At 42.6% G+C, this 13,011-nt stretch overlaps 1 protein-coding gene across 1 annotated transcript in view, besides 1 other annotated feature; it reads left to right on the top strand.

Annotated features, from left to right (window-relative positions):
• NRDE2 (NRDE-2, necessary for RNA interference, domain containing) overlaps positions 1–13,011 on the top strand; it is a 64,082-nt gene that overhangs the window by 22,395 nt on the left and 28,676 nt on the right. Inside the window, exons 5-8 of the mRNA NM_017970.4 lie at positions 5,165–5,612; positions 6,422–6,827; positions 8,175–8,308; positions 11,167–11,287. Coding sequence (NP_060440.2) covers positions 5,165–5,612; positions 6,422–6,827; positions 8,175–8,308; positions 11,167–11,287 — 1,109 coding nt within the window. The remainder of the gene's footprint in view (positions 1–5,164; positions 5,613–6,421; positions 6,828–8,174; positions 8,309–11,166; positions 11,288–13,011) is intronic.
• Positions 6,448–6,742: a silencer, noted in NCBI's record as "tiled region #379; HepG2 Repressive non-DNase unmatched - State 14:Gen5'". NCBI's record gives its function as "represses a minimal TATA promoter and a strong SV40 promoter by Sharpr-MPRA in HepG2 cells {active_cell/tissue: HepG2}" and the evidence as "EXISTENCE:reporter gene assay evidence [ECO:0000049][PMID:27701403]".

Raw genomic sequence — 13,011 nt, 5'->3', positions numbered from 1 at the left:
CATTGAGGCGTGATTTGATTGGGTTATGGAGACAGACAGTGTAGGGTTCTTGGTTCTTTTTTTTTTTTTTTTTTGAGACAGAGTCTTGCTCTGTCGCCCAGGTTGGAGTGCAGTGATGCTATCTCGACTCACTGCAACCTCCGCCTGCCAGGTTCAAACAATTCTGCTGCCTCAGTCTCCTAAATAGCTGGGACTACAGGCGAGTGCTACCATGCCCGGCTAATTTTTTTTTTTTTCCCGTATGCCACTAAAATTCGCCCAAATTTATTCAGCCTGCATTCATCTTGATTGCCTGGCGCTTTGGATTTAATTCTTCCATCCCACTTTGTATCTTCCATTTGCTTCCCTCTCTCCAGCTTTTATTCTTTCTTTCTTTTTTCTCTTGGGCCAATGCGTGCGACCCAACTCACATGCATGGACTCTGGGAAGGTAAATGCCCGGCTAGTTTTTTTGTATTTTTGTATTTTTAGTAGAGATGGAGTTTCACCGTTTTAGCCAGGATGTTCTCAATCTCCTGACCTCATGATCCGCCCATCCCAGCCTCCCAAAGTGCTGGGATTACAGGCATGAGCCACCACGCCCGGCCTGTGGGTTATTGGCTCTTAAATTCATACTGCAGCAACTCTCCTCACTTCTTAATTTGGTCCGTGCTCCTTGGTTTAGGTACCTTGGTTCCCTGTGCGGTTGACATTTTTGTTCCCTGGCTTTGGGGTCACCAATTGGGCACGCTTGATTCATCTGTGCATGCTTGTGACTTGCGAGCTGTGGGTCCACTGCAACTGAACAACAACTCATTGTTCTGTTATTGACAAAGCTGAAGTAGTTTGAACTGGTTCTGCAGTTAACAATTTTGTGTCAGGTACTGAATTTTCACACTTTAGGAGGAACACTGACACGCCGAGAACATTGAAATGAAGGTGAACGGTTAGGATTTGACCAGCACTGTCATGTGAGGACTAGATGGGCATTTGGCCTTAAGCAGGGATATGATCATTGTCTTTTTTTCTTTTTTTCCTCCCTCCCACCCCCAATCATTGTCTTTTAAGCTTGGATGGACTGTCCCTTGGAGGCTGGATTGGCAATGTTTTGTGTGACTTGTGAAGTTAGAACCAGTACTAATGAGTGGAAGTTCCGGGAAGTCAGATTTGGTTCAGTATAGAGTAGCACATCCTCTACTCCCGTGAGCATCCCGCAGTGACACTGTGTATGGGAGTATTGTGGTAGGCAGGGGTTAGGTTCTAAAGTTAGTGTATAACTTGAAAATTAGAGTCAAACTATATTTGGAAAATTCCTTAAGACTAATATACTGTCTGATGGTGAAGTTCAGCTCAGTCAGTTTTTTCTCCATTTTTGGAATAGATTGTTATTTCTTTGGCTATACACCAGATAAAATAGTTGGCTTATGTTTAGGAGCCAACTTTGATAAAAATAATAATTTAAACTTATCTAACCCTTACTATATGGCAGACACTCTTCTAAGGACTTATGTAAACATTTTTGGCCAAGTGCAGTGACCCACACCTGTAGTCCCAGCACTTTGGGAGGTCAAGACAGGAGGATCGCTTCAGGCCAGGGGTTCAAGACAAGGCTGAGCAACATAGTGAGGCTGCATCTCTACAAAAAATAAGCTGAGTGTGGTGGCATGTGCCTGAAGTCCCAGCTATTCAGGAGGCTGAAGTGGGAGGACTGCTGAAGGATTTTGAGGCTGCAGTGAGCTATATTGCATAACTGCAGTGAGCTATATTGCATCATTGCATCCTGGGTAACAGAGGGAAACCCTACAAATTTTTCTGTAGTTGGGTGCAGTGGCTCACACCTGTAATCCCTGTATTTTTAGTAGAGATGGGGTTTCACCGTGTTAGCCAGTATGGTCTCAATCTCCTGACCTTGTGATCCGCCCACCTTGGCCTCCCAAAGTGCTGAGGCGGGCGGATCGCTTGAGGTCAGGAGTTCAAGAGCAGCCTGGCTAAATTTTGTATTTTTAGTAGAGATGGGGTTTCACCATGTTGGCCAGGCTGGTGTCAAATTCCTGGCCTTAATTGATCCACCCACCTCGGCCTCTCAAAGTGCTGGGATTACAGATGTGAGCCACCACGCCTGGCCGTTAGTTGATTATTTGATAAGGATTTTATAGCAAAAGTGCCTTCATTTAGGGAAACATTGTGTTAAATTATAGCCTAGGTCCTGTATAATTATTAAGATCTCATGCTAAGTGATAAATTGGATATAACCTAAATGTCTAATGATTGGGAAATGGTTAAATAAATTATGGCACATCCATACAATGGAACAGTTTGAAGTCAATACAAATTATATTTTCTAAGATTAATGGTATGAGGAGATGCTTTAAAGTAGGAAGGCAGGCCTGAAACTATGTGATATCAACTATTTTGAAAAAGGATGTATGTGCACACACATATATATACATACTGAAACACATATAGTGTCTGAAAGTAGATAGTAATATAGGCCAGTAACATTTTTCCCCTTCCCTTATCATTTTCATCTAATTTGTTATAAAAATGCAGCTGTTAGTTTAAAGTCAGGAAACAGTAAACATTTTTCAAGAGATTTTATGAATATCTAAAATACTGTATATTTTTTGTGAGACTAATGAGGAATCAATACTATTAAAAGAGGATAAAGGAGAACAAAACTAGCTTTTTAACTTAAAGTTTGTTCCTTAGGGAATGGCAGCCTTGTTTAGAACTACATTAGTGCTATTTTTTTTTTTTTTGAGACCAAGTCTCACTCTGTTGCCCAGGCTGGAGAGCAGTGGCTTGAGCCCGGCTCACTGCAACCTCTGCCTCCTGGGTTCAAGTGATTCTCCTGCCTCAGCCTCCCAAGTAGCTGGGATTACAGTCGTGTGCCACCACGCCCAGCTAATTTTGTATAGTTAGTAGAGACGGGGTTTCACCATGTTAGCCAGACCGATCTCAAACTCCCGACCTCTGGTGATCCACCCGCCTCAGCCTCCCAAAGTGCTGGGATTACAGGCATAAGCCACCACACCCGGCCTACATTAGTGCTATTTTATCTCATCACACCTTTGTTAAGGTTGTTTTTGACTCATAAATGGAATGGCAAGAGACTGTCATGAGATAGTCTGAAAGAATTGGGAGGGAGGCTAGATAAAAGGTTTGAGAGAGAATATTTATGTCTGTGTGAGAAAATAGTCCCCTACAGTGGAATTTGCTGTGTTTGGTCAGTGAGGAGGGCAGAGGCACTTAGAGAGGGGACCTGTTGACCGCAGAGAAGCCACAGAGGTGAGGGAGAGAGCCCGGCCCTGAACCAAGGTGAAGTGGAGCGGAGCTTCCTGGGAGCTGACAGAAGATGAAGGCAGTTCTCCCCTGCCTTTTTCTCCCCACGGCATTTCCGGTTTTATTAGGAAAAAATTTTAATATACAGCAAAAGTTGAAAGATTTTTACAGTGAATGCTCGTATAACTGCCCCCTACATCTACCATTAACTTTGTATCCATTAAGTTTGTATTGTACTTGTTTTGTCATATGTGTCCATCCATCAGCCCATCCTATTTTTTTGATGCATTTCAAAGTAAACTGCAGATCAATAAACAACCCCCTAAATACTTCAGCATGTGTATTATTAACTAGAGGTCAATATTTATTTAGTTTTATTCCTTTAATTGAAAATTTACATGCAATGTAATGCACAAAGCTTCATTCTCACCCGAACCTCTGTTAAAATGTGAAATATTACTCTGACCGCCAGAAGTTTCCTCGTGCTCTTTTCTGGTAAGTCTGTACCCCATTCTCCCAGAGGCAATCACCGTTCTTACTTGTTTCCACCCTCAATTCGTTTTTACCTGTTCTAAAATGCATGTAAGTGGAATTATACAGTGTGTACTCTTTTGTATCTGGCTTCTGGCTTCTTTCACTCAGTGTAATGTTTTTGAGATCATCCGTCCATAAGGCACTTACCAGTAGCTCCTTTTTACTGCTGGTAGTATTCCATTGTATGGCTGTACCTCTGTTTACTTATCCATCTTCTATTGATGGACACGTGGACTCTTTCAGTGTTTGGCTGTTAGGAATAAAGCTGCCGAGAGCATTTGTGCTCATGTCTTTGTGTAGACATGTGCTTTCCTTTTTCTTGGGTAAATATGTAGGAATAGAATTGCTGGGTCATAGGTTAGGTCTGTGTTGAATTTTTTAAGAAACAGCCAGATCTTTTCCCAAAGTGATTATACCAGTTTACATTCCCGCTGACAGCGGATGAGAGTCCTGGTTACTCCACAGGTTACTCACCAACATTTGGTGTTGTCAGCCTTTTAAATATTAACACTGTTCTAGTTGGTGTGTGGGGTACCTCATTGTGGTTTTAATTTGCATGTCCTTGTTGACTAAGGATGTTGAGTTGTTTTTTTTTTTATGTGCTTATTGGCTATTCATGTCTTCTTTTGTGGAATTTCAGTTCAGATCTTTTGCCCGTTTTTAAAATTGAATTGTTTGCTAACATACATACAGAAAAATGTACAATTTTCCTTAGCTTTTGCCTGTGCAAATATTCAGTAGTCATGTGTTTGTTAACTCTGGGGACGCCTACATGTTCCATAAAAGCGTTTTAGAACCCAACCTCTTTTCCTCTAGAGTAGAAAATAACCAAATGTAATTTCATTTGACATACTTTGTTTCAGGATTAAAAAAAGAATCTTAGGCCTATATGTTATCTTCTTAAGTAGGGACACAGGAAAATATTGAGAAAACAGGACTGGTCTAGGAAACAGATGATCCAGGTTCCCAGGCCTCAGTGTCCTTATTTAGGAACAGTTAAGAGAAGGGATGATAATTTTTGCCTTGCCTGTCACATATGGCTGTGATGATCAAATGACATAATGTGTGTGACAGTTCTTTACAAGGCTCCAGGAAAATAGAAATTACTAAGATCTAGAAGACAGGCATGATCTTAAATTCATGAGATGTTAAAGAAGAGTTGAAGTGTTATAGGAAGAAGTCAAGCCAGGCAGAAAGAAAGTTAATTACTAGTCCTTGTGTATCTCCAAATAGAAACAATCTGAAGGTGAGGTGAATTTGGTTATATGCAGTGAACCTGCATAACGAGAGTTTAGGTCTAATGCGCCTTTAGTCATTCAGAGGTAGTACACGTATTCCCTCAGTAACTTTTTTTCTTTTTCTAATATCAGATACAAGAGGAAAGGAGACTCCTGCCTTGGCATTAACCCTAAGAAGCAGTGCATATCTTGGGAAGGGACTTCCACAGAGAAGAAGCATTCACGCAAGCAGGTTGAACGCTATTTTACTAAGAAGAGTGTGGGATTAATGAACATCGATGGAGTTGCCATTAGCAGTAAAACTGAACCTCCCTCATCTGAGCCCATCTCCTTTATACCAGTGAAGGACTTGGAAGATGCGGCTCCTGTTACAACCTGGTTGAATCCTCTGGGGATTTATGATCAGTCAACCACACATTGGCTACAAGGACAGGGTCCTCCAGAGCAGGAATCAAAGCAGCCAGACGCACAGCCAGACAGCGAGAGTGCGGCTCTCAAGGCCAAGGTGGAGGAGTTTAACAGGAGGGTGCGGGAGAATCCTCGGGATACGCAGCTGTGGATGGCATTTGTTGCTTTTCAGGTATGTGTTGCCATCCCAATTCTCTTACCTTAGAAGGACATTCCTGATTTTGGGCAAACTGATGGACTGTGCAGCAATTTTTGAGCAAATGAGGAAATTTGACACTGGGCATACAAAGATTATTAGAATAGAGCCTTTGCCCTGAGCTCGCTCAAAGTCCAATGAGGAAAATGGACATGCGAAGAATAAGTGCACCCTGGGGTAGTAAATGCTGTAATGTATAACTTGGGAGTGGAGTGAGGGAATGGCTTGTGTTGAGGGAGGAGAAAGAGCTACCAAGGAGAAGGTGAAGTTCAACACAATCTTGAAAGAAGAGATGTTCACCAGGTAGGGAGAGGCATTCCTGAAGTACAAACAGAACAGGCAGAGCTCACGGAATTGTGAAAGAGAGAGGGCTGTTCAGTGTATTACCCAGTTAGAGCCATGCATTCTCTTTCGAAAACTTGTAGGTTTGTCTGAATCCCTAATTTTGAACCACTCATACAATTACCATATTTTGTGCCACATTTGGCCCTTTTATTGGTAAGGTCTGCTCTTCAGAAAAGACTTTCAAGGCATTGTATGCTAGTCATTGATGCAGAAATCAAAGCTTAAAATGGCAGAGAGTGGATAATTAAGTGATAAATACAAGATCAAACATATCAGGTGACACAAGCACTTTAGGATCCAGGTTTTCTTTAAAAGAAATAGTGGCAAACTGGTGGTTTAAGAAAGTCCCTAGGGGGTGGTAAGAAAATCAGTAAGCATTGTTGAAACTCAGGATCTCCCAGGTCCATTTGCATTTGTAAATTGGTGTTTTTGTTGTTGAGGACGAGGTCATGAAAAGTCCTGGCCTGTATGCCATCGAGGAAGGAGAGCAGGAAAAGCGAAAGAGGTCCCTGAAGCTCATTCTGGAGAAGAAGCTGGCCATTCTGGAGCGGGCCATTGAGAGCAACCAGAGCAGTGTGGATCTGAAACTGGCCAAGCTGAAGCTCTGCACAGAGTTCTGGGAGCCCTCCACTCTGGTCAAAGAGTGGCAGAAACTGATATTTTTGCATCCCAATAATACAGCCCTTTGGCAGAAATACCTTTTATTTTGCCAGAGCCAGTTTAGTACCTTTTCGATATCAAAAATTCACAGTCTTTATGGAAAATGCTTGAGCACTTTGTCTGCTGTTAAGGACGGCAGCATCTTATCTCACCCTGCGTTGCCTGGCACGGAAGAGGCCATGTTTGGTAAGGAGATAACCAGATCCAGTTACGTGGGAGGAGTTAGACTTTCTTTTGGCTTTACTTGAAAATGAAGATCTATTTTTGATTTATTCTAGAAAAAGTCTAAATTGTTTGATAGAACTGATTTTTTTAAAAAAGTATTACGACTCTTTTTGATAACAAATTTGCCCCCAGCTCCCAGGGCAGGTGGGGGCAATAGGGCCAGTAGAGTTAAGATATCACTGGACAAGGTTCTGCTGATTAGCCAAGTAAACATAGGCAAGTCTCTTAACTGCTTTGGCAGTCGGTGGCCTTATCTGTCGAGATGCATGTACCTGTCTCACCCAATTGTAGGGTCCCAGGCAGTAATGTCCGTGAGATGCCCTGACTGGGAACCACTGCATAAATAGAAGTTTTGGGTATTATTATGCTGTTAACATTTTTGGTGTGTCCTGAAGGAACCTGGAACATTAATTTTGACAGTAATGAGATGTTGGAGGCTGCATGTTATGCAGAGCCAGAGAGTATCACTTTTGACCTTGAATCCTGAAGGGTTTGCCCTTCACTGGCTCTCTTGTGTCCTTGGGCAGGTCCTCTTTGAGCCCCAGTTTCTCCATCAGCAACAATACTATAAACCTGCTTTACAGGACTGTGTTGCACAGTAAACGAGATAATCCATGGCGAGTCTAGCTCAGTGTCCGGCACAGAGCAGGCATTTATTTGATCACAACCCCTGTTATTGAGTATTAATTACTGTTGGCATCTAAAGATAGAAATACATTGCTCTCAAAATATAAGCATTTATCACACTGACACAGAGTCTTGAATTTGTCACTGTATGTGATCTACACAAATAGCTTAGTGTTATTTAGTAGCTGGAATTGTACCAAAAGTAAGATGAACTGGAATGTTCAGACATGGAACCTTGATTTGTTTACAGCCGACTCTGAACATAGGATGAAAGTTGCTGGTGAGTAATGCCATCTAGTGATCAACTGAATACAGCTCTTTGCTTTCTGATAAAAATCTGCTACGCCATCCTTTTTCTATAATTTTTCTTGTGATAATGAGCTGTGATTATTTGATAGCATTCAGACCAACCTCTTGACTTATTTTTATGTACTATATATAGTTTTTGTTGTTAATATTTGTGTTCTGTGATGCTTTCATACAAAAATTAGAACAAACATACTTGGATTATAATACTGTGTGAGACGCTTTAAATCAAGACATGTATCACAGCTTTGTAAATTAATAGTGATTGCAGGTGAAAGGTGTTCTCAATGTGTTAATTGCCTGTTTTGAGAAGTTAGGTTCTTTCCCTTTAACGGTATCAACCAGGCTTCTTCCCCTTTGCCCTCCTGTTCGCAGCACTCTTTCTTCAGCAGTGCCACTTTCTGCGGCAGGCTGGCCACTCTGAGAAGGCCATCTCATTGTTCCAGGCCATGGTGGACTTCACCTTCTTCAAACCCGACAGCGTGAAAGATCTGCCTACCAAAGGACAGGTACCCAGCTCTGCTCGCCTCATCTCTCTCTTCCTGGCTCTTTCTCTGGAGGGAGAGGGGGAAGGTGTGGATAATGAGAGGTGGTGTGGATAATGAGAGGTGGTGTGGTAGTGTTTTTAAAATATCATATCCTCCTTTATATCAGTCTGCTGAGGAGGAATTCTCAGAAATAGTCCAGTGATCTGAGGAAAGTTTTGTAATGAAAATGGTGAGATGTGGATAGGTAAAGAAGCTTCCCCCTCCTTCACAACATAAAGGCTCTCTGAGGACTCACCCTCCCACCCTGCCTGCCTGCCTGCCTGCCTGTGTTCCTCCTTTCCTTTTCCTTTCCCTGCCCCCTTCCCCTCCCCTTCCTCCTCCCCTCCCCTCCTCCCCCCCATCCCCTTTCTGCCTTTGTTTAAATGCTGATTGGCTCCCCTAGTCAGGGAAACAGTTGTCATGCCATTTTAAACCTTGTATTACTCTCTTCCACCCTTACACATTCTAGTTTGGGTCTTGCATCACTTCCTCAGTTAACCTTCTAAGTACCCACAATCTTCGCTAGAGTTGCAAATGAAATTACACAGAGATACCTTGTCAACAGTGATCCTTATTGGGGAAGGGTTAATCCTTTAGATGACAAGCGAGCATTGCCAATGTTTGAGATAAATGAAGATAAGTGAAGAAATAAAGAATTTTTATAGAGCTATGTATATAAGAAAATGTATCTTTTCCCTTTTTCCACTAAATAAAACTCAGTTTTCTACTCTGTAAAGATGTCTAGTGGAAGATAAATAGAATATATGAGTTTATGGTGAACATTCAAAAGTGTTTCTTGAGAGGCCAAGGCCTCCGTCATGTGGGAGTTTCATGAATTGCCAGTAAAGACCATTTTTATCATGATGCTACCTCTAGAAAAAATTGGATTAAAGAATTATACCAGTTAAATTGCTATAATCAATCATTAATAAACCATATAACAGAGTAATTTTAAGACATGCTGTGAGATTTTAAGAATAGGCTGTACTACAGAAGTGATTCTCAGCTGACTCTAAGGAACCTTGTGGGTCAGGATCAGAATTTCTCTCACCCCCTCCCCCTGCCCCTTTCCTAAGACCCTCTGTGATAAGAACAGAGTGATGGGTGGAGGGTTCTGCCTACAAATGTGACCCATCGAAGACCACTGCTCTAAAGTGTTGGGAGACCCCGATCCTCGTGCTTGAGGTTTTAAACACGAATAGCACATGTGATTCCAAAGCATTTACATGACAACTTTGGAATAAAGTTTCTTATTTACTAATATTCCATATTGCTTTTATAACTGAGAGACGTTGTTACCGTGAACACAGTAGCGTGATTTAACACAGGCAGGTCTGATATTACTGGTCTGCGTTTCTGTGGAATAAACAAATAGATTATACTCATTTATCACACTATTTAAAAAAAATTTTTTTTCTTAAGTAAACTTTCTTTCTTCACTCTTACAAGAGCCAGACCTCTAAAGAGGGAGCGTAGTCGTCCTGGTTCCCCTTTCTGAGGATGACTGACGTGTCAGGACGTTTGCCCTGCCCTGACGTGACTCTCCTGGAGGCAATACTCCTCCAGGCGTGTGTGGCATTGCCCAGGGCTCAGGCTAGATAATCCTGTGGCTCATGGCCCATGCTGTGCCCACTGGAAGCCTGCTTGTCCTCTTCAAAAGGTTTCTTACAAAAGCTTTCACTGAGTAGGTTATTGGCTCACTTTCACAGTCCTGTTTCCAGTTGATAACATGATCACGTTTCTGTTCATTGCTGTGTTCACATTCTGTTCCATAGGGAAAGATTTATTGCCAGTGAGCTGCTTACCACACACCTAATGCTCGAATGAATGAGGGAGGTGCTAATGGGGCCAGGCTTTAAAATGCAGACCTTTAGGCTGGGCGCGGTGGTTTAGGCTTGTAATCCCAGCACTTTGGGAGGCTAAGGTGGGCAGAGCACCTGAGGTCAGGAGTTGGAGACCAGCCTGACCAACGTGGAGAAACCCTGTTTCTACTAAAAAAACACAAAATTAGCTGGGTGTGGTGGCTCATGCCTGTAATCCCAGCTACTCGGGAGGCTGAGGTAGGAGAATTGCTTGAGCCCGGGGAGGTGGAGGTTGCAGTGAGCCAAGATCACACCACTGCACTCCAGCCTGGGCAACAAGAGCGAGACTCTGTCTCAAAAATAAAAATAAAAAATGCAGACCTTTTTACTCCCTGGTCGCCTGCCTTGTTCAGATCTGTGCCAACAAGCGTTTATTGAGTCCCTGCTAGGCAGTAAGTATTGTGCCAGGTGTTAGGAATATATAGTTACTTAAGATATGGTTGTGTCACGTAGCTCATGGTCTGTCTTGTTGGAACCTTCCTCTCAAAATATCTTGAAAGCGGCATGACTTTAGGAATTAGCTCGGGGGTCCAGTGATACTAGGTGAACTGGCAGTGCCACTGTCCCTGGTTAGACTGGCCTGGCAGGATAAGAACTAGGAAACTACTCCCTTCCTACCCATCTGGAGACCCTTCTTGCTGAACCTCAGCTGGTCTTTTTGTAACCTAATCCCGGGAGTGACCCCCCATCACTTTTGCCATATTTTGTGTGTTGGAATCACTAGGTCCAGCTCACATGCGAGTGTGAAAACCACAAGGCAGAGGTAGGGTCATGGGGGCTATCTTGGAAGCTGCCTGCCACGCTAGATAGATCTTTTTTCTATCTTGGGGTGTGTAGCATGTATCTACTTCAAAGACTGATGGCAAACATGATTTCAAGGATCATAAGCTTCTCTTATATCCACCAGCGCGGATTTTGCCCACTGACTCAGCAGTTTTATACAAGTGAGGTCTAACGTCCATTCTAAAATCTGAACAGGTGGAATTCTTTGAACCCTTTTGGGACAGTGGAGAGCCCCGGGCTGGGGAGAAGGGAGCCCGAGGCTGGAAGGCGTGGATGCACCAGCAGGAACGAGGTGGCTGGGTGGTCATCAACCCAGGTAAGTCACCTCTCATTGAAGACGTGTACTTCTGTTTCTTCTGGAATTTGTTTTTACATCCTCATGATTATTTATCTGCTTAAGCTATTTATCAGTAGCTTCAGAATATTGCACAAACATCAAAATGTCAAAAATGTTAAGTAGATGTCATGGGTTCCCCTTAGAAGTTTTAAAGCAGTGGACTTATTCCTTCAGTACATAATGCTTTGAGGATTTGAAAGTTTCTGTAATTTCCCTTTTTCCTTTTATAGGCTGCAACTGAAGAAGGAATCTTGTTAATAACTGCCCCAATCCTCATTCTTTTTTTTTTTTTTTTTTTGAGACAGAATCTCGCTCTGTCACCCAGGCTGGAGTGCAGTGGCAGGATCTCAGCTCACTGCAACCTCTGCCTCCTGGGTTCAAGCAATTCTCATGCGTCAGGCTCCTGAGTAGCTGGGATTACAGGCTTCTGCCACCATGCCCAGCTAATTTTTGTATTTTTGGTAGAGATAGGGTCGCCATGTTGGCCAGGCTGGTCTCTCTGGTCTCAAACACCTGACCTCCAGCGATCTGCCTGCCTCAGCCTCCCAAAGTGCTGGGATTACAGGTGTGAGCCACCACGCCCGACCCCATTCTTTTTTAGTGTGTATTTCAGACAGTCTTTTTGTTATCCTGTCAGTGTACAGACCAACAGATACTTTGAAAAATACCTTTTTAGGACTATTATAAAGTAATTATTACCTAGCATTTACATAACTGTCACTCTAAATGACCCCCAAATACTTTCCAGATTTATACTCTAATACAGAGCTGCCCAATAGAAATATAATGTGAGCCTCTTGTGTAATTTCAAATTTTCTAGTGGCCACATTAAAAAAGTAAAAAGGAACAGATGATGTTAATTTTGATAGTGTATTTTACTTAATCTAGTATATCAAAACATTTCAGTATGTAATTAGTATTTTAAAATTATTAACCAGAGATTCAGATGCCAATTGCATGCTTTAAAAAGAAAAAAAATTATTAACTAGGTATTTTGCATTCTTTTTTTAGTACTCTTTGAAATCTGGTGTGTATTTTACACTTTTAGCAAATCTCAGTTCAGACTAGCTACTTTTCTTTTTTTTCTTTTTTTTTTTTTTGAGACAGAGTCTTGGTCTGTTGCCCAGGCTGGAGTGTAGTGGCTCGATCTTGGCTCACTGCAACCTCCGCCTCCCAGGTTCAAGGGATTCTTGTGCCTCAGCCTCCCAAGTAGCTGGGATTACAGGTATGCACCACCACGCCCTCCTAATTTTGTATTTTTAGTAGAGACAAGGTTTCACTGTATTGGTCCAGGCTGGTCTGGAACCTCTGACCTCAAGTAATCCGCCCACCTCTACCTCCCAAAGTGCTGGGATTTCCGATGTGAGCCACCGCACCCAGCCCAGACTAGCTACTTTTCAAGTGCTTGATAGCCACATATTAATGGTGACGTATTGGACAGCACAACTCTAAGACATTCAGGAACTGCTTCACTCCCCGAAAGGCAGTTCCAGCATAGAGAGAGATCTGCCAGGCAGATGATGATTTCGTTGAAAGTTCTATAGGGAAAGAGTGATGGACAAGGACTCAGGAGATTGACTCCTTGCCTAGGCTCAGTGAGCCTCTTCTCACAGGTGTGACCTTTCTTTGTTTATTCATTTGCACCATGAAAACTTTGGATTAGGTATTGTCTTGCACGACAGTTCAGAGCTCCGGGCCAGGGA

The sequence above is a fragment of the Homo sapiens genome, chromosome 14 (genome assembly GCF_000001405.40).
Source record: "Homo sapiens chromosome 14, GRCh38.p14 Primary Assembly".
Taxonomy (NCBI): Eukaryota; Metazoa; Chordata; class Mammalia; order Primates; family Hominidae; genus Homo; species Homo sapiens.
This window is presented reverse-complemented; position numbering and strand designations above follow the sequence as displayed.